This window comes from Homo sapiens, chromosome 5 (assembly GCF_000001405.40).
Source record: "Homo sapiens chromosome 5, GRCh38.p14 Primary Assembly".
NCBI classification, from domain to species: Eukaryota; Metazoa; Chordata; class Mammalia; order Primates; family Hominidae; genus Homo; species Homo sapiens.
In genome coordinates this window covers 9,339,395-9,364,058 of record NC_000005.10, presented here as the reverse complement: position 1 = coordinate 9,364,058, position 24,664 = coordinate 9,339,395, and the positions used below count along the sequence as shown (strand labels likewise).

At 40.0% G+C, this 24,664-nt stretch overlaps 1 protein-coding gene across 10 annotated transcripts in view, besides 2 other annotated features; it reads left to right on the top strand.

The window, feature by feature from the left end:
• The window catches only part of SEMA5A (semaphorin 5A), a 511,043-nt gene that overhangs the window by 182,017 nt on the left and 304,362 nt on the right, over positions 1-24,664 (top strand). The gene's annotated exons all lie outside the window — the stretch shown is intronic.
• Positions 518-717: an enhancer, noted in NCBI's record as "active region_22349". NCBI's record gives its function as "activates an Ori minimal core promoter by ATAC-STARR-seq in GM12878 lymphoblastoid cells {active_cell/tissue: GM12878}" and the evidence as "EXISTENCE:reporter gene assay evidence [ECO:0000049][PMID:35858748]".
• Positions 2,190-2,239: a silencer, noted in NCBI's record as "silent region_15909". NCBI's record gives its function as "represses an Ori minimal core promoter by ATAC-STARR-seq in GM12878 lymphoblastoid cells {active_cell/tissue: GM12878}" and the evidence as "EXISTENCE:reporter gene assay evidence [ECO:0000049][PMID:35858748]".

Here is a 24,664-nt window from a genome sequence, read left to right as displayed (position 1 = left end):
TATACTTATTTAAGACTTCCCCTTCCTTCTGAGCCAAATTTGAGCACCCCAGGTTTCTTCAGCAACATTTTTTAAAGGAGCTAATGAAATACTGTGCTTCTCCCATGAACATCCTGCCTCATCGCCTGCCTACTTCCATATGCCCCATGTTTTCTGGCCACTTGAAATGCCTTTTTATTTTATTTTTCTTTGATTTAGTCATGCCATTCCATGAATTGAAAATAGTTTTTGCTACAACTGAGCAACTGACCCTTGGCAGCTCTGAGTCTCTTGACAGAACCGTGTAACTGATGTTTAGGGGAGGCAAGAAATATAGTTGGATAATATTCCATCTGTGGTATGTTTTGTAATTCTCAAAGCCTCCAGTTTCCTTTACCTCCATAACTATGTGGAGCTTCGGTTGATATCACCAAGAATTTCACACTCCAAGTGAGAGAAGGATATCTCCCAAAGGATGTGTAATTCTATTATGCTGCAATGCTCTTTCTGTGACTTCAAGCCAAGTGAAAACATTTGCTAGTTCTGGAGGTACTTTTCAGCCAGTCTCACCATGTGACCTTCTAGAACTTCTCTCACTCAGGCAATTTGCTTTTGACCCATTCCTACCCCACCATGTAATTATGACCCCCCCTTACCTACTGCAGGAGGTGGGGGTAGCAGCCATTCACTGTTTTAAGTGTAGATCCAGTATGTGGCCACATCTGCCTCCCTGCTCTGTTTGTTCTTTTCTTCTGTAGAACATTAAATGATTAGTGTGCATGGTTCAGGCAGGAACCATCTTCAGATGGAGTAAAACAGAAAAGATTATATCAGCGCTTTGCAGTGATTTCCTGTGTGCTATATTTGGTTATGAACAGATTAGAAAGACTTATGCCTTTTATAGTCTGAGACCAAACTCCTCTGGCCACATAACCACACAAAGTAATATCCGAAGAACCTAGGATGGTTATAAGATCTCATGAACAATTCTGCTTTTTTGAAATGTACTTTAGAGTCCTGGAATCTTTAATTAATGGATTTTCCTGACCCTATTCAAAGAAATAAACTCAAAAGTAAAAAGTAAGACGCATTACAAATATTATGCTGAGGTGAGGCAGTCGCTGAGAAATCCTGAACACTCCCTAGGAGCCAGGTGTGGTGCTGAATGGTTTCAGCCAGTCTGTTGTTTCTCATTTGTGCATTTGCAGATAGACACTTTTGCACATAAAAAAATGAAACTTGTAGTTGAAGACTAAAGAGTTTCTGCTTTCAACTCAGCTCCTAACCATAGAAATCATCTTACATTTGATATTCATCTAGACATGAGAGCATACTACAGAGTTTGGGAAGTGTGTGGGCTGGGTTTCAAAACCATGGGGGCAAGTACATTAACTGTGTTCACTCGGGTTTTCATATCCTCTTTTTTTGGGATATAATTAATGGTTAAATAGTAGTTTAAATTATATTTTTAAATGCAGGTGTAAAATTGAAAGGACGGACTTAAAACTACCTATCTTCCCTTAAGATTTAAAATGTTCATATTTATCAGCATGAAAACATTGGAATCGCATTCAAACTAAGTGTCTCTGCCCTCGTAGGGTAGTATTTCTAGTTACTCTGGAATTGAGGTGAAAACATACAGAAGATAGTTCTTTTGTAAGATTTCCAGCAAAACAGTAGGCCGAGTTGATGGTTGAAATCTCTTACCCTCATATAATGGCATTTAAAAAATAGCGTCCCCAAAGCAAGAAAGGGACAGTTCCAGGGGACAGAAATAAAAAAGAGAGGTCAAGTCTGGAATCCTCAGTAGGAACCCAAGTTGAAATGCCTCTGGGGGCTGGGGCTTATAAACATGCTCAGGGATGGGAGAAGCAGGTGAGGCTTGAGCCTGATGAGCAGGGAGGCCAGAAACTGAATCCGGAAGCTACAGTGAGCTGTTCTACCTGCAAAAGGAAAACGCAAAAGAACCGCAGATTCACCCCCCAAGACGAGAAGAGGAAGATGGCTGTGGGTGGACATTGTCTCATGAAGACGAAACTGGGGCCTCAAGCCTGCTTTCTAGGTTCCCACGAGGTACCCAAATAAGAACCTTCCTTGCCAGCAGGGGCCTTAACACCAAATCTTCGAGTTTGAGAGCGCCCTCTAGTGTTCATGCCCATGGCAGTGTTCTCAGTTCTGGATTTGGGGCTCTTGTAAACACAGCTTCTTGGTGATGGTGAACTCAAGTCAAAGGGTACCCACTAATGAAACAATGAATGGAACTAAGCGCATCAGCAGAACAATCAGTGACAGAATTTGGACCCTAGATCCGCAAAATAGACCAACTCCCAACAGACTTGAAAGTGTTTAAAGAGATACATAGGTAAAGAGCAATTACTTTTGCACCAACCTAGTAGCATCAATATGGTCAGAGCAAAAGATCATGATGTGGATGAGACAGAGTATAGACGTAGTGAGAAAGAGCATTATGAGGTGGATGAAAATGCTGAGGAAATCTCTTAGAAGGTGATGCATAGGGAGGAACAGATTAACTCACATTTAAACCCAGAGTAAGACATTTATTAAGTATTTATCTAGAACTCACAACATATAAAAATATATGTGACTCAGTCCTACCTCACAGAAAAAATGGCGGTAATGCTGGTATAATTTTCATCACTTTCCCTCCTTTCTGTATAACAGAACCATGTCTTTGTCTTATTTTTAAGGAAGAAAGTATGTGATGCTGCATAGAATTGAGTTTTTGTTGTTGTTGTTGTTTGCAATTTTTTTTTTTTTTTTGAGACAGAGTCTCGCTTTGTTGCCCAGGCTGGAGTGCAGTGGCATGATCTTGCCTCACTGCAACCTCTGCCTCCTGGGTTCAAGTGATTCTCGTGCCACAGCCTCCCGAGTAGCTGGGATTACAGGCGCCCACCAACTTGCCCGGCTAATTTTCGTATTTTTAGTAGAGACAGCGTTTTACCATGTTGGCCAGGCTGGTCTCGAACTCTTGACCTCAGGTGGTCTGCCTGCCTCGGCCTCCCAAAGTGCTGGGATATCAGGCATGTGCCACTGCGCCTGGCCAGACTTGAGTTTTTAAAGGGCAAGATTTCTGTCTTATTTATTGTTATGCCCCTAAAAAATACTTTATAGATCTTGGTGGAGAGAATGACTATGTTTTTAATCCTTTGCTGTTAAAGAACTTAATACTCTCTCCCCTAGGATGAAGAAGATAGAAAATCAGGCATTCAAAAGATAAATCACAGACTGATAAAGAAAATTATAAAATGAAAAGAATCGTTTGTGTTTCTTGCTTTTCCTTAGAGTTCTAGTTTTCTTGCATGAATAATGTAAGTACTAATACATGGCTTCATGGATTTTTCAAGGATTCAGGAATGTGTATGTAAAATACCCACTGTGTTGCTCAGCCTAGTGCCGAGAATATTGTATGCACCCAGTGTGTCCTATTATGGGTGTCATTATTTTCATTGCAGTTTTATTATTTTCACCATCATCTGAAAAGGTATTTCCAAGAGTGTGTACTAAAGCTTCATTTCTTTTGTAAGCTATCGTGTTGTTTTAAAAAGCAAGGTACTGGACTTAATAAAAATTTATTTGCTTTGGGGGACACAATTGAGATAGTTCTTTCCTGCATCTCTATCTCATAATCTACTCTCTCTTTAGGGTAGTGTATATTTTCTCAATTATATGTATTTTGAAAAACACCTTTACTGATTTTTAGACTATTAAAATGTCTCTTTTGTGATATATTTAATCTATCCAATTTCTTAAGACCCTGACTGCTGTATTCCATCAGTGTCACCTACAGAATCAAATCCCATCCCTCTGGAGAACACTGTACACATTATCTCTGCAGGTGTGTGCATACCTGATGCTAGCTTTTGATTAATTTACTAACAGTACAGATGAAGTAGGATGACCTACTGCAGAGGTTAATACCTGCAAAGGCCAGTGGTTCATCTAGTGAGTAGTTCATTGAACAACACAAGAGATTCAAAGGCTATTGCTGAGAGATAATGTCACAGTTGAAATTCTTGTTTATCTTGAATTTAAAAACTAAACAAAACCATGTCTATATTTCTCATTATATTTCCATAAAACAAGGATAGCAAAAATTTTTAAATCTATTAGACAACCTTAGGAGAATCAGCCACCTAGTGTTGTCAAAGGAATAATTTTATCATTGCAGTTCTGAATTCTAGGTCATTCTCCCTCTTCTGCCCCAGTGGTTCTTAATCTTCAAAACTGGATGGACATTTTGCCTTTAAAGGGTAATTTTTTTCATAGTTTTTTGTTTCTTTGTTTTTCCTCTGCAAGGAAATATTTGAGAGTTACTCTAATTTGAATACTTAATTGCCTAACAAGCCAACATGGAGTGGTGGCAAATATAAAGACGGAATTAATTGGAATTGGTTAAATTTTGACTTAAAAACCAGCAAAATCAGCTGTAGGGGAATAGTTATTATAGGTGCAAAAGTTACATCATGACCTTCAGGAAAGGAAGGACTGACTCATTTCAGATTCCATAGATGTCTAACCTATCATCAACTCAGCTTCAGTCTGGTTATGCTAGGAAATTCCTTCTCTGGCCATTCCTTTATTCTGGCCATTATGTTATAAAGGGAATCTACTGGATAAACACCAAGCCAAGCTGAGCATAGCAATGTCAAGTTCAACAATGCCTCACAATAGCAATCCAACAACAAATGCTTACTGAGTGCCTTACATACAGTATGCCATTCAGTCTTTATAAAATTGTATAAAGTGACTATTTTTCCCCTTTTATGTAGCTGAGGAAAAAAACTAAGGAATTTAATTAACTAGTCCATGAACCCATGGTGCTTATGGAACAGAGCAGAGGCTAGATTCCTGGCCTGTTACACTGCAAAGGCCAGGTTCTCATATTCTGCAGCCTCTAGCTGGTGGGGGGAGGAGCTGCTACTGTGGTATTCCTGCTTTGTGTGTGTGTCCGTGAGTGTGTATGTGTCTGGTTTGGGTGCTGCTGCTGAGGATCTGGGGGCCTGTCTAGGAGAGGAAATGGACTGAGCCCTAATTAACATGTATGTGCTCACCTTTTTCACTTTGAGTTTTTCCATAGCCCCACATCCTACTGTCTTTGCAAGAGGGTCTGAACCAGTGCTTTGCTCCTTGAATCAAAAAATTTTGAGAGAAAATTATCTCATCATGTACCTCAATGCCTCAACCTAGAGCCTCCTTTTCTAGATTCCAGGCATATTTGTCATAGCATAGAGGACAGGTATGCTCCAAATGTAGTTCAAAGAACTCTCTCCTAGCATCCCAAGCTTTGTCTTATTTTCCAGCTTCGTTTCTTTCAACATAGAGGGTGCACTGAATGACTTATGTTCATTCATTCATCAATGTGTTTGACATTTATTCATTCAGCCACTCTTTGAACCCACATCCATTCATTCATTGAATCACATCTTTATCAAGTGCCTGCATCAGGGCAGCCTTTGCATTAGGCACTGGGAGTGTAGGACATAGCAGCGCACCTGCCATTTAGTGGAAAGATGGATGTGTCAATAGACAAATTGAACGCTGCAGCATAGGACCTGAGAGGCAAGGTCTGGACACTGTGTGCACAGGGAAGACCCTTCCTCTTGTTGAAGGAGATGCACAGAGAGGTTCTGTGGCAGCTGTCATCCCAGCTGGAGTCAGAACGACAGGCGTCAGACCACCAGGTAAGGAAAGGGAAGTCAAGGGAGCTCTGGGTGGTCCCTGGACCAAAAGCACTCACTACAGTTAGAACCAAAATTGCACAAGGGACAGCACTGAAAATGGGTTTGAAGGTAAAATGGAGCCAGTGTGGTTCTTAGTGGCTTTGGTCTTATTGAGGTTTCATGTTAGAGATGCTGACTGGAGCGCCCAGGCACCAAGGAACAGACTTGGCATAGGTGGACAACCAGTGATGGAATGAGAGGTATGGAGGGTCCAAACAAAAAGCAGTGGGGACAGAAGAAAGTGTGTTATAGAAGCTGGAGCAACAGGACTCTGAACATATGTTGGGGAGAGAATCAGTGCTAGATACTCCAGATGATCCACTGTCTCAGTCTAGTGTGACAAAATTCAACAATCCCTGTTTCTTAGTTGAATTTCAGCACTGGAAAATGCACTGATCATAATTCCTGTCCAAATAATGTTTGTTAAATAACTGTAGTTTAAAGTGAGAGAGAATTTTGTCCATAGTTATTCATCCATACTGTACGACATGACGTGGAGCTAAGTAAGTTTTGCCTTATATATCTTCAGATGTGAAAGATCCCAATGGCCCCTCATCTTCACATGGGGCTTTGGAGTGCTCACTCCTCTCTGTCCAGGAGAGGTGCCTCACCTGGGGCTTCCCGCCTTGATGTTACCAGGTAAAGTTTAGCTTGTTGGATAATAGTTCCTCCAACCCTCTCTTGGCACTCTAATCCTTTTAACAGACTCAACATTTGCAAAAAGGCTTATGTCTATTCCCAGAGTTTGCAGTTATACTGTCAGGATCTCCTCTCCCTGGGTATTTTTAATGGAGTAATGTTTATGTTTGGGGAGGAGCAAAAATAGAAATGTTTATAACTGGTGGGGAAAAAAGAACTAATGCAAGCTGGAGTCATGGGCTTGGTCGGTTGTTTGTGAAAACAATTCTCGCTAATTATAGCCCTTCTAGAATGACAGCATTATTATACTGACCATATGCAATTAGCTTGACTTTTCTTCCTCTGTGGATGAAAATAGAATGCACTGCAGTTTTCCCCTTTCATATTCCTAAGCAAGGACTACACATCCTTTGGTGGACACAGTCCAATTTGAGTCTTTTTTTAAGGAGTTCTAAAATCTCTGTATGGCATTAAATTTAATAGGTCCAGTATATCAAAAATAGAATTATAATTATGAAAAGTCAGTTAAAAGGAGGTTGGATGGTAAAATGAAATGAGATTTTTAATGGCTTGCCAAGAGTTGTAATTAATGAGATGGAGATTTGGCCATGCATGTGACCTTCAGGTAGGAAACAGTCAAAGCCCTGTGTGAATGGGCTCAGGAAGGAAAATGATTTTTCAGAAGGAATGGGTTCTCTATGTCTTGCAAGCTGGTAATTCCTCATCGTTCGGGGCTTTCTCTTGAAGTCAGGCTCACTGAATATGTTCAGGAGGCTGCTTGGAGTTCATATCAGGTGCATGAGCGTTTCAGTGGAAGAGACAAAGCTAGCAACACGGTGGAATCCTGGAAGAAAGGAGCTCTTACTTAGACAATAACTGCTTTATTTGATGGGTCACTTGTAATTTTGCTCATAACACAGAGCTGCTTGTCATGACAATGTTAATTCGTGGGTATGATCTACTTCAGTATCTGTTTTGCACAGTGAATTTCTTTGAACCCCGGTTGCAAACAAAGAAAGAAGAAAATAACACAAAAGCATGCTGGCTTGAGTGCCTAATGCCATCCTGCTGCACAACTTCCTCACACACCACACGGGCTCCCGAGGCTATAAAAATTGTTTTTGTCTGATTAAACACAAGTCCCTTTGAACTTGGTGGGGGTTCTTTTCCGCTTGCACTTTCTTCTAACTGTGTGCAGCCTTTTCTTTTTTTTCTGGTTTGATTTGGAATCCAAAGTGTCTACAAGTTGGCCCACTCCACCTCCTTCATCCTTTTCTTAAAGCAAAAAATGTGTGTTACTGTAACATCTGTTACATTCCATTCCCTGAGGCACAGACAGGCAGAACTAAACACTCTTCACTTGTGTGTGTGCACGCACATGCACACACACCAACCCTTTCTTCTTCTAATATACGGAACGTGGGTTGACTGGAAGGCAGAAGCAGATCAGAACAAATTATGTTCACAATTATGTTAGTAAACCATCTAATCATAACCAACAGAGCCTCTGTCTCTCAAGGTAACCCTCAGAGAAGAAATGCGTCTTCAGTGGGGGCTGGGGACTTACCTGGGGCTATCAGCTCTCACTTCTGGGGAAAGAATTGAAGGGAAGGAGCAGGTTCCAATTTATATGGATGTCAGTAGAAACAGAATCCAATTGGGAAGTCCTTAAAAGCCTGTATGAAGATAAATGGGTTATGTATCAGGGATGGCGTTAAATAATCAAATTGATTCTAAGATCAAAATCGTCATAGCCATCGCTCTGAAATTCTACAGTGAACTATAGAGGTTGTAGATAGAGAGGAATAAGATGACCCTCCTAATGCAGGGATGTGGGCTTTATTCATTCATTTCTGCATGCATTCATTTGTTCTAATGCAGAACACTCCACACATCTTTCTTCCAACTCTCAGTAATGAGTGGCCATTTTCTTCTCCTTCTGTCGTTCCTCACCTCGATGTCACCTCTAGCACCGTATTAAATGACATCTTTATGTTGAGGGCTACCAAACCTTTATCTTCTGCCCAGCCCCTCTGAGCTCCAGGACTTCTCTGTTCCCACCTTACTCACCTCTCCATTGCAATTTCTAGTGAAGACCTCCGCGTAGACATCCAGGAAAGAACTATTGGATTGTTCCCCAAATTTACTTTTTCTCCATCTCTCCTGTCTCAGAAATCACCCCATAGATTGAGCTGTTCTAGTGAAAATCTCGGGTGTTATCCTCAGTTTCTCACGTTTCCTTATTTCCCTAATCAATTAGTTCAAAATGCTTCCCATATCTGCCTCCTTTCCTCCATCTTCTCTAGACCACTGTGGTCTATCCCATTTCCTGCATTCTCCATCCTCTGCAGACCATTCCCCATGCTACAGTCCTAAGAGTTTTTAAAAAATGCCACGCAGCTCATGCCTCCCCCTTGACTGTTCCATATACATACCTTGGCTTCCTAGTGCCATAGACAAGGGTTGGCAAAACTATAGCTGCAAGCTGAATCAGCCTCCCACTTGTCGTTGTGAATATTGTCTTAGTGGAACCCAGCCACACCCACTCTTGTCTGTGGTGGCAAAGGCAGAGTTGAGTAGTTATGACAGAGACTATATTCCCACAAAGCCTAAAATACTATCCAGACCTTTGCAACAAGTTTGCCAACCTCTCCCATAGAATAAAATCCAAAGCTTTTTACCTCTACTTGCAAGATAATGCATGCAGTGGCCCTACCTCCCTCACACCTCTCCTCTCCTGTCTCTCGTTACACTCCTGTCCTGCTTCTCTTGCTTAATTTGCCCTGGATCATCATCAGCTTAGGGCCTTTCCCCAGACAACTCCCTCTCTTGGAATGCCCTTTGCCTAGACCTCTATGTGGCTTTTTCTTGTCATTCCAGTCTCAGCTTAAATGTTACCTGCACAGACTGGCCTTCCTCACAGACTCTACCATGTTGCTCTAAGTCACACTCTACAAAGTTACTCTGTTTTAGTTACATCATGGCACTCCTTATTTCATTGATTCTGCCTCCCTCATTCGGATAAGCATTCAATGAGAGGAACAGCCTTCTCTACTTGTTTTCCTGCAGCGTCTGTAGTGTCTACAGCAGGACCAGGCACAGAGTAGGTACACGTTTGCTGCCCGAAGGCTTGAATGAACAAACAGCTGTCACGTGCCTGGGAGCAGACGGTCTAGTGAAGAAACATTAATGGGGTCAAGCAAATAATTAAAGTTCACCATGACAAACACCATGAAAACTGGGCCCAGAGCAGGAAGGGTCTCTGAAGCTGTTTGGCACACATCAGGAAATGAGAATATAAACATGTCAAGAAAAATTGGAAACAAGATTAGAAATGAGACTGTGACATTGAATTCACAACTCTCTCCCAGGAAGTCAGTGGGGCTGTAAATACAGCTTTCTAGTTTGTCCATGTGATGGCTTCGTCCCACGCTGGGAAACAAGAGTGACTATTATACCCCCTGGCTTATGGGTCTTGGCAGGTTAGTACCTTGAAATGAAAGCATGAAGAGATTGGCCAAAATACACCAAAAAGGGCAAAGCCAATGGAAGGACATTTATTTTCCTCATTGCCTTATGAACCTGTCTTTGCAGAGGCTGGTGATTTGGAGGTGTGGCATGCTGAGCTCTCTGGGGGTTGCTGGGCCGTGGCAGAAATCCACCTCTGTTGGAAATAAAAACCCTGAAACCATAAATGTCAGCTTTTGTTTCTTTTTTTTTTTTTTTAACACGTGCTTTTTCTTTTTTTAAAGTTTAACATCTTTGGTGTTTGACTTGGGGCTGCTGATACCAAAGCAAGCCTGGGGGTGAGGCCAGTGACTTTATGGGACTGTAGATAATATTAACTAATAGGCTGTGCTAGGAATTCCAGAAGGTTTGCTTTTTATTTTATTTTTTCCCTCAGAGGAAATGGAAGTATAGTAATTAGCTGGAGTTTCAAAACGATTTTGTGTGAAAGTGTAGAAAATACTCAACTTGTGAAGAGGGTAATGATTTCCTGCATGTCCTTATCATTTTCACCGGAAGATATTAAATGCCATATAAAACTATGGGATGCAATATTGTGGAAGTGCTCCTCCTTATTGATGCCATGTGATATATGATAAACCAGATATATGATATCTGGTGAACGATTAGGGGCTCTTTCTAAGCTAATCCACATTGATATCTAGCTGGGTGAATTTCAGCAAGACCCTCTACTCTTCTGGAGTCTTAGGGAAGAGGTATGAGTAGATATGCCCAGAGGTGGTTCCTTCTTACTTTAAAATTGTCTTTCTTTCCTTCCTTTCCTTCCTTTCTTTCCCTTCCTTTCCTTTCCTTTCCTTTCCTTTCCTTTCCTTTCCTTCCCTTTCCTTTCCTTTCATTTCCTTTCCTTTCCTTCCTTTCCCTTCCCTTCCCTTCCCTTCCTTTCCCTCCTTTCCTTTCCTTTCCTTTGCTTCCCTTCCCTTCCCTTCCCTTTCCTTCCTTTCCTTTCCTTTCCTTTCCTTTCCTTTCCTTTCCTTTCCTTTCCCTTCCCTTCCTTTCCCTTCCTTTCCCTCCTTTCCTTTCCTTTCCTTTCCTTTCCTTTCCTTTCCTTTCCTTTCCTTTCCTTTCCTTTCCTTCCTTCCTTTCCTTTCCTTTCCTTTCCTTTCCTTTCCTTCCTTTCCTTTCCTTCCTTCTTCTTTTGTTCTTTCTTTCATTTCTAAAACACTATGCTTAGCATGTTTAATTATCTGTAATACATATTTGTTGAGCCTTTTACTCTATGATTTTCTAGAGCAGGGGTTGGTATAGTTTTATTCTGTAAAAGGTAAGATAGTAAATATTTTGGCCCTTGCAGGTCAAATAGTCTGAACTCAACTCTGCCAGTGTAGCACAAATCCAGCCATAGAACATATGTAAACAATGGGCATGGCTGTGTTCTGATAAAACTTTATTAACAAAAACAGGTGATGGGATAGATTGGGCCCATAGGCCATAGTTTGCCAATCCCTCTTTTAGAGCCTAGAGACTAATACTTATATTTCATAAATGTTAAAGATGACCTCTTTCACTAAATTCACAATATTATTTGGATATAAACAATCCCATGTAAAATGATTAGAAGAATGATAGAATATAGTTCATAAGTGCTTCTCGAACACAATCACTAGTCAAGGTATATCAAATTGGGCCAGGTATGGTGGCTCATGCCTGTAATTCCAGCACTTTGGGAGGCAGAGGCCAGTGGATCTCTTGAGCCTGGGAATTCAAGATCAGCCTGGGCAACATAGCAAAATCCTGTTTTTACGAAAAATACAAAAATTAGCCAGCGCCATAAACTGATCTCTAGATAGATAGACGATAGCTAGCTAGCTAGATAGCTAGATAGCTAGATAGATGGATAGATAGATACAAATTAAAAAATAAAATAAAATAAAAAGATATATCAGATTGGTAGTGTCTGGTGGCCTGGAAAGGAGGGAGGTTAGTGAGGTTATTAAGGAAGAATACAGATGACATGTAGGACTGCATGCTGCTTTGATATGACCCATGTTCCTTTTAACACATGCATTGAAGACTATTTCACTAGATAAGAGAACACAGATATTAGTAAACTTATACCCTACTCTTAAGTAACCCCCCCGACCTGTTACATTCATTAGAATTTGAGTAAACAGGGAGTACATAGGAAGATAATTCAGACAGGATGGAATCCTGATATCAACATGGAGAAATGAGAATCAGTGTTATAGCAAGGCTAAGGGGGTCTCCTTGAATGAACGATGAGAGAGAAGTGAAAAGCAGCGGAGTCTGAGAAAGAGTGAAGGCTAAAGGTAGAGTGCCTTGGTCTCTAGACCCTTGCAGACAGAGAAAGCCAATGCAAGTAGAGTACAGCTTTGAGACTTGAGATTTGATTGGCTTCCAAAAGTTTTTAGCTAGTCCATATGTCTGGAAGTCCATGGGGACACCATAGACGAAGAATATGTCTTCATCTGTGTGGGTGTATTTCACAATGAACTGGGGACACTCATGATGTGGGATCTGACTTTTCTTCTGTCCCACTCTGTTGAAATATTTATGCAAACCAGATTGCATTTTGGCTTTCTTCATTGAATAACAGTGTTAATTGCTCAATAAAATAATGAAAAATGGAATGGAATGTCTATTATTTTTTCTTAATTTGTTGGTAATGTACTGGTTTCTGTGAGACAGTACAAAGTAAGAATACATAAGGCAATAAACTTCTTATGTTAATTTTGAAAAAAAAACGGTGGGGGCTATAAAATATGTGAAGAAAGATAACAATGAAATGCACTAATTATATCATAAGTGGCATTTGTCTAGTTTCTAGCCACATATCTATTACAACTCATAGAAAGCTTGATTCTAGGAAGGAATTTACCCTTTGGAAAAGGTACAGGCTGGCTGCCTAAGAGATTTGATGCTATTGGAGGGAACTGGATCATGAGTGGCATTTGTCTAGTTTCTAGCCACATGCCTATTATAACTCATGTAAAGAAGTTTCAAGCTTGATCCTAGGAAGGAATTTACCCTTTGTAAAAGCTAAAGATTGCTGCCTAAGAGATTCTGATGCTATTGGAGGGAACTGGATCTCTTCCTAGATAAGCAGGTACCATAATGCCCTGATAAAGTGAGACAGTGATTTCTATATATTTCTGACTCTTCCAAACTAACACATCTGTGTCCAGGGATATTTATACAGGTTTTATTATTGTGTTTACTGTGCTTATCATCACAAGAGGGAGAAGCTTTGAGTTGGTGGTCTCCAGTACCACTGTCAGGTTCAATGATTTTCTAGAAGGACTCACAGAACTCAGAAAAGCATTTATACTTGCAGTTAGGGTTGATTACAGTGATGGGGTAGATGTAGATTAAAGTTAGCACCCATAAAAGGCATGTGGGGCAAAGCTTAGGAAAGACTGTGTATAAATCCTGAGCTCAGAAAAGCTTGGGAAAGATTGTTCTCTCCCGGTGCAGTCATAAGGACAGCACTGTATTCTCCCAGAAATGACATTTGGCAAAATGAATGGAATATTGCCAACCAAAGAAATGCAATGTAGCCTTGGTGTCCAGGGATTTATTGAGGGTTGATCACAAAAGCATGGAATGCTTGCATGGCTGACCTTAGTTACTCAGACTCCAGCCCTTCCTGAAGTCAACCAGATGCAGCCTGGCCACAGGTCCCCACTGTAAACTGCATTGTTAGTGTAGACTATCTGGCATGGATCAAAGATCTCAGGTCAAGAGAGAGAGACACTCCTATCAGGCAGAATATTGTAAGGGCTTAGATATTATTTCCCAGCAGCCAGTCAAAGACCAGACACTCTCTTGGAACATGCTTGGCTTGAATACCGCAGACCTGCTGAGTCAACCCATTATTAAACTACTCACTTATGAATACGGTTCCCGAGAAAAAAGTTCTGCCTGTGAGATTCCAACCTAAATCAACCAAATTCCAAGGACTGTGTTACTTTCATCAGTATATTTGGTAAATGCAGGGTAGTTTTGTTGGAATCAGTGCCTGATTAGGTTGCGCTGACCTCTATGGCAGCTGGTTCTAAGAAGACAAGTTAATTTGTTTTTCCATCCAACAAAGGCTCCATGTTACCAAGGAAGCCTGTTCTTAATATCTTGGGTATGTGCTGTCCAATCGTGTAGCCACTCTCCAGGTATGGCTTCAAAGTACTTGAAAGGTGTCCAGTGCAGTAAGTGTAAGGATTTCGAAGACTTAGAATACACATACACAAAGATACCTCAATGAATTTTATTTTGATAGCATGTTTTTTTTTTGTTTGTTTGTTTGTTTTGTTTTTTTGAGATGGAATCTTGCTCAGTTGCCCGGGCTGGAGTGCAGTGGCGCAATCTCGGCACACTGCAACCTCTGCCTCCTGGGTTCAAGCAATTCTCCTGCCTCAGCTTCCCGAGTAGCTGGGATTACAGGTGCATGCCACCATGCCTGACTAATTTTTTTGTATTTTTAGTGGGGACAGGGATTCACTGTGTTAGCCAGGATGGTCTTGATCTCCTGACCTCAAGTGAACCACCCTCCTCAGCCTCCCAAAATGCTGGGATTACAGACGTGAGCCACCGTGCCCAACCCTCTTTAACAGCATTTTAACATGGCTACTGGGACATACAAAATTACATGTGCAGCTTACATTACATTTTCATTGGATGGTGCTGCTTTAGAGCATTTATCATCTTTATGCTTTTCCCTGGGATCAGATAGTATTTATCTTCTTCAGTTTAACTCTCTTTTGTGTGTATCTCATCTTCTTAGCTAAATTATAAATGTCTTGAAGGCAGAGGTCTGTCTTATATAACTTTGTATTCCAGGCAGTACCTACAGTTGGTTCTTCTATGTAGCAGGTACTCAATAAATAAATATTACTTGACTACGTACATGAATTATTGTGCTGCCCCAGTATTTTTGGTGCACATCCACCTAATGCTTAACCCTAAAGTTCCTGGAAAAACCTTGGTCTGACTTGGCAAATATGTTCTAGTTCCGATGTGTAGATAGAATCTGTACTTCGGCAAAGAGGCCACCTTGGGACTTATTAGACCTCTCTTCAAGCAAGAAGCCTTCCTTGCATGACCCTGTCTTGTCTCCTGAGTTCCACAGCTTTCTTCTTCCCTTGAATCCTAAGGTCTGAAGAAGTAGTGGCTTAGATTAGAAGCTAAAGATTTTCCTATAGTGAGGAGGCAGACAGGAAACTTACGTGTGAATTGTGAGAATGTGACAGAAAGAGATTTTCCTTAAGCAAATGATTTATTGTCTTAAAGCTGAGGTCTGGCAAATTCTGAATATGTAGCAGAACTATTCTGGATATTTTAAAACCACACACCCTAAGGCTCTAAGAAATCTCTGGCACGTTCCTCTGCAATCTCTGTCGTTATCTGGTGGCGAATGGCTTTCTTTGCTGTCAGTCTTCTGGCTATCACTGTTTACACAGCCAGCACTTTGGCCACTTCTGGAATAATCTAAGTGCCTATTGAATAGAAATTGTTCATTTTTGTAATTTTAGTCATATTAACATCATTTGTAATTCTAAAGTTATAAATCTAAGGGAAATTACTTTTTGTTGTTCTTTGTCACAACATGGAGATTTTGCAATTAGATTTTATAGCCTAAAATCATATGCTGCAGGTCAGGAGTCAAAATGAAAACCCTTCTGCACTGGGCAAAGTTTCCTATGGGTGACTCAAAGTACTTTGAAGCCACGTAAAGTTGAAGGGAGGGGCAGGCTGGGCACCAACTTCATAGCCTGAAGGACAAAGTTAATCACAGTCCAGGAATTTGAGGGTCATGCTTAGTTTGTGTTATAATATATGAATTTGCATAATCTTATAAATTTAAAAAAAATCTGTCTTTCCTGATGGATGAGTAGAAATTGCTTCTTCTAGGAGTTATCTAGCAATAAAACCCAGGCACTTATCAGCTTGTTTCTTATCCTAATTAATTGCTTCAGATGGTTTAATGAAATAGGAATTTACCAAGATCTTGAAAGTTATAAACAAAAGGGAAGGCAACTCTAGCCTGTGAGGCAGATTTTGAACTCAGATTACAGACAACTTTTCACTAGTGTCTCTTTGCACTTGCCAGGTGGGTCTGAGGCAACCCTTGAATGACTCGGAACTCCTTGGGCTGGAGTAGCCAGACCCTCACCTAACACTGGCATTTAGATCCTGAGATTTGACAAGTTATTTGTGGTATGGCCTGAAAATCATGCAAAGAATTGAAAACGTGGGGTAACAGTGGAATTTATTAATCCCACCCCTGTTTCAGAAAGGTAGTGCATTTCAATTGGTTACAAGATGGTAATTGGTTCCAGTGAAATTTTGCTTCCTAAGATTTCTCTCAAAATACCAAGGAAAAATATGTTTAGTTGTTCAGTATTATCTTGTGACGACGATCTAGCTTAGAGAAACGGTAGGTCTGGAAAGTCACACAGGAGTCCCTTCTGGACATGAAGCCTGTCTGCCGCCTGCCCCAGCAGCCTTGATCACCAGCTGCCTCTCCATGCAGGTCCCTGCTCCTGCCCTCACTGAAACAGTGCACGCATTTTTTCCTACAATCACAGGTTGGTGGTTAGTATTTAATGCTGATTTACATTATGGATACATTTTATGCCATAGATTCCAGGATGTAAAAAAAAAAGAAAAGAAAAAAATGTGTGACACAAGCTTGTAGTTTTCAAATGGTGTTTGAAGGAAGACCCAATCAGGAACTCATCGAGTAAAAAGGAGCTATCACAGCTTTTTGGTTTCTGAGACATCCACCAGGAAGCCTGCCCAAGATGAAACAGTGAACTTCACAAGAATCCAAATCCAGAGTGTAGACCTTTTGCAAAAGTTGTAGTTTGTGAATATTTTTCTACAATGAACATGTGAGAAATGGGTTAGGTATACTATGTGTTAATGCAACAAAATCATATGAAGACTTGATAGAACACTTGACTCACTTTCAACAGACTGCAATAGAAACCAGAAAAGATTCGAAAAAGCACTGCTTGCATTTTTAAAATGCTGTGTTTTCAGTGTCATATTTACAAAGGAAAATGCAAATGAAAGATGCTTTATGCTTCCTGCTATTTTGGGTCTTTTTTCGTGATACGAAATGTTTTAATTTCTCTAATTGGTTATTATTAAATATTTTTGTTTTTTAAAAGTTCTATAAATGGGACAGACTCATTTCCTGTAGACATTTTTTGAGATAATTTTTTTCTTTCTACTGTAGTCTATTAAGTGTCTATAATATCTATTTGAATACACTTAGGCAAATACATATATATATATATACACACACACACACACACACACATATATATATACACAATGACCACATTGATGCCTATATTTATATATCTATGTGTGTATGAAGCCAGATATTTCCCTGACCCCTTCCCAGGACTTGTGATAGGGATGCCTCATTTACTCAGCCCTCAGCTCTCAACTCCTGTGGGAGGGAGTGTGCAAACGAGGCCGGAAATGGAGTGCACACACGCTGGAACCAGCTGGCCACTTTGGCACTAGCAGGGGTGAGTTCCACTGACTCAGACCCTCCGTGTTCCACCCCATGCTGGAGGGAGCATACAGGTGAGCAGATGCAGGAGCCAGGGTGAGCAATTTTGGATGCTGGCAGGAGCCAACTCCCTGTAGGCCCCGCACCAACATCTAGTGGGGAACCTGTGACCCCTGAAACCCCAGAGGGCATATTACAGTGCTCTTTTAGCTCTGCTGCCTGCAGATAGCTTAAATGTTAACAGCTCAGCAGGCCCTTTTGTGTCTGCCCCCATGGTTTCCAAGCTCTTGTCTGGTGTCCAGGAAAAATGAGGTTACATGAGCGAACTGAAGGGTGGTAAATGTGGAGGTAAATGGTGATAAATGCCAATGAAAGTGGGTCTCAGTGGAAGGGGAGCTGGAAAGGGGATGGGGCAGGAAGGTTATCTTCCCCTGGAGTCCGGACATCTCTGGCCAGATTCTTCTTCAAAGTTACACCATCAAACTGTCCCTCTGAAGTCAAGCCAACTTCTCTCCAACATCCAGCCATAGTCCACAATGTCCAGCAGCTTCTCCTCTCTGCCAGCTGAGTCTGGGGTCTTTATAGGCACAGGATGGGGTGGGGTGGGAACATGGGTGGTTTAGGAAAAGGTAACATTCAAGCAGGAAAACAGAATATAAGTTGTCACTTTGGGCTGCAGTCTGTCAGGCTTTTAAGCTTGAGGGTGATTCTTCTCCAGGGACCCTCCCATGTCCACCTAGAATCTCTCTGCCTTCTCTCCCTATCATGTATATGTGTGTCTATATGTATACAGATATATAGAAATAAATACATGTGTATACATATACACTGCATACATATACACAAAATATGTATTGTGTTGTGTATAATACAGTATATGTATTGTGTATATACTTATATACAATATATCTAGATACAATATGACTATAATCCACATTTGGAAAGCTTAATCTACTTCACTAAGTGCAGTCTGCAAGAGCTTTCTTGTTCTTATACTGGGTAGTTTGAAGGAGGATGCTTGCTGAGTGGGATGGCCTTGGGACTGAGATATATTGATAACTATAGATACATATAATTTTGGTCATTTAAAATACTATCATTTAGAAATTTTCATGTGCTCAGATAATGTGGTCAGCCTGGTACAGACCACTTTTTTTTTTTTTTTTACATCCTGGAATCCATGTTATAAATATATATCCATAATGTAAATCAGCATTAAATACTAACCACCAATCTGTGAAATTGTAGGAAAGAATGCATGCATTCCAGTGAAGGCAGGAGCAGGGGCCTGCATGGGGAGGCAGCTGGTGACCAAGGCTGCCAGGGCAGGTGGTGGACAGGCTTCATGTCTGGAAGGGACTCCCATGTGACTTTCCAGGCCCATCATTTCTCCAAGTTAGATTGTTGAAGGATAATATAGAACAACTAAAGAAACATGTTTGATATTTTTCCTGGATATTTTAAGAGGAATGTTAGGAAGCAGAATTCCATTGGAAACAATGATCATCTTGTAACCAATTGAAATCCACTACCTTTCTGAAACAGGGGTGGGTTTACCTCATGTTTTCAATTGTTTGCATGATTTTCAGGCCATACCATAAATACTTGTCAAATCTCAGGATCTAAATGCCGGTGTTAGGTGAGGTTCAGCCATGGTACTTCTACTTAGATATTCTACTAGTGCTGTGATGGGGAAGAAAATAGACCAGCAAAGGAACCTTAGGACCTGGGATTTTCCAGCTCACTGCACATGCATAGCCTTGGGCAGGTGGTGTAACACACCTGCCCTCAACTATAAAGTCAAGGGCTGGACTGAAGTGCAGCTAATGTCATGCCCTGCTGTAACCTGCTTTGATTCAACTAAGCCCTCAATAGGAGTTATACTGAAAATAGTAGAGGCTCATATATTTGGAGATAAAAAATTGGCCTCATATTTTCCAACCTTTCTACAAAGCAAAAGTAAGGTTTAGCATATCTGTACATTTTGGAGTTTGCTAATGTAAATAGGACTTGTCTTGGAAAGTCATTTGAGGGAGATAAATTCTCCAATATTGAGATCTTCTTTCCCCTGGACTTCTTGCTGCCTGGGGTGTGCCCTGGTTTCTTTCTGTTTTTCTCTGGGGTACTCCTCCTTCACTTATGTCCTGCTCAGTGGGCAGCCAAGCTGGAACATTCCTGTCTCCTATCTGGAAATTACCAGCTTCCCTTCTTTCCAATTTTTCTCTCCTTTGCTGGGTACAACTACCATTTTTGATAAATTAATCCATGCGTATATGTTACTAGGCAGTAAGGATTCATGCTCTTTATGCATTCCTTGGAAAATTGATTTTTAATCTGTGTCTTATAGAAATATTGCCTTAGCCTTATTCTGGATGTAAATTCCAGTTTAGCTACTTATTCCTTATGTCATGTTTGGATATTTAACTTGTCAAAATTTCAGGGTTTAAAAAAATTTTATAACAAAAATGATAGCTCTCGCTTCACAAGATTATAAACATAAAAATAGTTAATATGTAAAAGTATCTCATACAATTCCTGATACCAAGTCAGTACTGAAAATATAGTTAGTAAATAAAGAAGTATAAGTAAGAAATGTTGGTTATTCTGATATGTATGTTTTTCAGCAGCATATTTTAAACATCTATGAATGTGCATGTTTATTCCCTTATGACGTGTTTTGCATTCACACGCTGGCACCAGACAAGTGTGTGAAGCTTTGGGACTGAAAGCTATGATAATCACTGAAAAGATTTGAGGGAACCAAGTTGGTTGAAAGCCTGATGTATCTTATTTTGGGGGTACACGTGGCATGGGGTTGCTGCTGATTTATTGTCCAAAGTGAGATTACCTTGTTCTGAGTGGTTGTTGAAGTAACAGGCCTGGTAACGCAAACTGCAAAGGAAAGGGAAGGAAACTGGTAGCAGGCAAGACACAGCATAGTAAACCAGCACAGACCTGCCGTGCTCTTCTTCTACTTGTGTTAGCTTTTAAACATTCCACTCCCTTGTTTTTCTATCATAGTTTTGGCTCAGATTTCATTGATAGGATGGTTTATGTAATGCACTGAAACCAAAAATGAAGTCCATAGAAGGGAGAAGCATGCCAACTTTAAGGAGTAATAGGTCCCTACCTTTGAGGTAGGATGGATCTTTTCACAACTTCAGGAAGAGGTCAGAAAAAAGAACTTCCAGAATTTCTCCACAGAGAATATGCCCTGTACTTCTTTTCCTGTGCTGCTCACAGAAGGTTCCCATCTTGAGGAGGTGAAGACACAGCTCTTTCATTTTCAGGACAGTACCTTGTCCCTGCCCCCCAACTCCTGTATTGGAGTTGAGTGGTTTAGACTGCTTAGAAACTCAAGCATTCCACAGTGCTTGTATCATTCCTACGTTCTGATTTCAGAATGTTCTTTACTCCAATAAAGCAGATCAGTACATGGTTGTCATTTTCTTCCTCCATACTTACATAAAGACACTTGGGTAATAAAAAATGATGAATGGTTTTTGTGTAGATCATCACCCTTATTAACATGGGCAAAAACAATCAATATTTTATTCACAGGTTAAAGTAGTAGCTGGTTTTGAGAGACCCAGCTTTCTGTTGTATTTCATTTTTCTCTAGTCCATAGTTGAAAACTGAGTGCGTAGTGATTTTGCTTAACAGTCTATCAATGGGAATAGAGTAACTTTCAAAGTGGAGAGGCTGTCGATTTTTCTTTCTTCCTGTAATTTTCCAAATGTGCTGTATAGGAAGCTAAATTTTATATTTGCTGAAGTTTAATAATATAGCATAGTGGCTAGAACCACAAAAACTATGCTGGTTGGGTTTGTATCTTACCAGCTATTGATCTTGGCAACACTCACTCTTACAATGCCTCAGTTTCTTCACCTATGATAAGGCAGGTGTGAGAAATACAGGAATTAATAGTTATAAAGTGGATAAGATAGAACCTACTATTTAAACATTAGCTATTTTTGAGCTGTCTTGCTGATAATCATATTGTTAGCGTTATTTTGTCATGATGCAGACTAAATCGGTTACATAACTACATGATAAATAGAAGTAGGCTGTGATATGCACTTGTATTTCTACATACTGTACTTATGTGTGTTATGTAAGTTGCTCTCCGTGCTTTTCAACAATCTTTACCCACCGTCCCCTGGCCCCACCTAGTTTGGCTTGAATCTTAGTTTCCAATGTGGGTTTCAAGTCACCCATATAGCTTTTGAAATCCTGCTTTCTCAGCCCCTTAATTAACTGAAGTTTGAAGGTGTGAGGAATGAAACAGGTATCCGGAGCCAGCCCTTAGTGTGCCTGGGAGGTTTCCCTGGTCAGTGTTTGCTAACAAATCAGATTGGTTTCTGGACAGTTGGCGCTGCAGGTGTTAGCATGTGGAGTGGCTCTCAGTCAGATTTTGGAATGACTGTCATGTCTTCCACAAGAGCTGCCCTTTATTGTTTGTTTGTTGCTGTTGTTGTTTTGGTTTACAAACATCATTACCTTGGCTATATTTAGAGTGTCTGCTTTTTTTAAAAGAGTAGCTTTTACCCCTCTTTCCCTTTCTTTTTCTTTGCATTTCTTTTTTCTTTGATTTTTTTTTCTTTCTTTTTTGGAAGGGACATTAACTTGAATCTATTTAGCTTATCTCTAGTTATATTTGTCAAGTATTTTGGACCAAATTATTAATACTGACTTGTTCATAAAATAAATCGTTTCTTGAAGTTGTAAGACTGGATTATTAAAAAAAATGGAATTATACTTTTGATAAAATATTTTATACACCAATCACATGCGAGCTTATGTAGCTGTAAGAGAAGGCAACTAAGAATCAATGAATGTAATTTTGCAATAAAAAATCATTGCTGGAGACCATATTTCAACAATCACGTAAATATATGTGTAAAAATTGGATTATCTAGGATAGTTAACCTCAAATATTATGAATTATCTATCAAGTGTTCAGTTGGAATTTACAAATTTTATGTTATAACTTAACTTCCAATTTTATATATATATAATATATATTATATATATTATATATATATAGTCATATTGGCTGCCATATTTAAGCTCCATTTCATCATATGGTTATTTCAGCAATATCAGAAAATAGGGATAGGAGGAAAAAGGTAAACTCACTGGGGGCAATGAGCATCTTAATGTTATTGAAAATTGTATCCCCTCAATTCACCACTTGCTGTGGACCCCCTCCTGCTCCCTCACTCTCCCCGAACTTCCTCTGGCATCTAGTTTGTGACCAATTGCCCTGAACTCTTTTAGATCTTCTATTTCCAAAACTGTTCATTTTCTGATTCCTTAGAAAGCAGTATTGATGACGTTTTCCTGCTACTACTGAAATCTGTTATTGTGATGATGAATTATAGTAATAGGTTTTCTGTTACTAAGCTTGCTGAGCCATCCTTGCGTTTCTGGGCTAAGCCCTATTCCCTATGAAATATAGTGTATGTGTGTGTGTGTGTGTGTGTATGTGTGTGTGTGTGTTTGTATGTGTGTGATTTTTTTTTTGATATATTGCTATATTGTACTTGGAAGTTTATTATGCATTTTATTGGGGTTTTTGAAGCTATAATAACAAGGGAGTGTAATAAAAATATGTAATGCTTTTTGAAATAGGAGAGGATGTACATATAGGCAGAGGGAAAGGGACTAGGTAACATTGGAGATTTTAGAGGAAAGCCTAGGTAATTGAGAAGCGATTAAAGGGGAAAGAAGAGATGAGAGCAACTGGTCTTTGAAAAGAGGATTGAGTGCCTTTTCTCTGATCTGTTGGGAAAGTTGGGAGGATAGGTATTGGTGCAGGCTTCTTTTTAGTTCAAGAGGTGAGTTGGTGCAGAGACTTTCTTGCAAGGCTCTCTTGGTATCAGTGAGATAGAAGCCAATGTAATATGCAAAGTTGAGATGGCCAACCTTCTGGAGGAAAGAGAAGGGAATATGCAGATTACTCAACTTTGATCTATGTTAACCATAAAAATACACAGTTTTATTGGGAAAGTTCATTAGAATTTCAAATAAGGAAACTTGAACAATATTGACAGAACTACATGCTGTTAACTCATTTTTTCCTCTGTACATGACTCCTTTTATTACTTCAGGGTATTTTAGGAAGTAGCAAAACTGCCTTCCCGTTGTTCAGTATAGGGACCAAAACCTGATGTATGTCTCTTTAGCCTGGTTCCTGTTGGCCACTTTCTTCCAAGTCTTCTAAATAAAAAGAAAGATGAATGCATGGGAAAAGAGTAACCTGATTTTCTTCTATCTTTCGTAGTCTTTTTTCCTCTTAGAGGCTCATCTCTTCACTCCCCTAGCAGGAAGGTCAGCCCTTGGCCCTCTGTTCTTCCCTCATGTGGTTTGAAGATTGGATGTGAGCCCAGCTCTGGGGGCTGTGAGTTGTGGTGAACAGAGCCCCTGATATTCACTCTGGAGCCTGGTCCTGGCAGTGCTCCCTGGTCATGTGTTTCCCATCTGAATGATGAACCTCCTGAACTAGAACATCTTTATGGACATTTCTAGGTCTTAGCGATGTTTAACAATGGCTGTGGGCCAACCTACCATTGGAAATTTTTCACCTGAAACATTCCCATTCTTGCACCTGAATTTACTATCTTTCTCTAAAGCCACCTCAAACTCTGATGCCTGTCTCAGTCATCACTGTTTTCTTCTTCATTTAATTTGGTAACTGTTTTGTTCTTTTTAAGTTGTTTACCTTGACTTCATCTCTAATCAGTGATCCCACATCTTCTTTATTCATTTTCAAGGCCAATACCTAAATTGTAGGTTTTTAGGTTTTTAAAAATATACTACTTTTCCTTCCATTCTCTACTCTTTCCAGACCATTCTTTCTATCAAGGGCTCATTGATATTCCAAAGACATCTGCTCAAATGGGTCAAGAGTTTTCCTGAAAACGTTTCAAAGCTTTGCTGTCACATATGAAATCAAGTCCAAACCTTTTAACCTGAAAGTGAATTTTTCTACAGTTTGTATTTAAATACACCTTTCAGTTTCCTTTCCTAGTAGTTTCTTAAGTTGCTATTACTTTTTCTTTTCTCCTTTCTCTTTTTCTTATTTCCTTTCTTTTTGATTATTTCTCTCTTGAACTCACTTACTTGTTCTTACTTCATTTCACATATTTATTATTTCCTATCGCATTCAATGTGCTGTTTTGTATGCTGCATGCACTGCAGGGAGCAATGCAGACGCAAGAGCCATTGGGTTCTCTTTTGCCCAGGAATGGAGGCATTGATGGAGTGAAGATGAGTGATACCAGTTATGGCCACA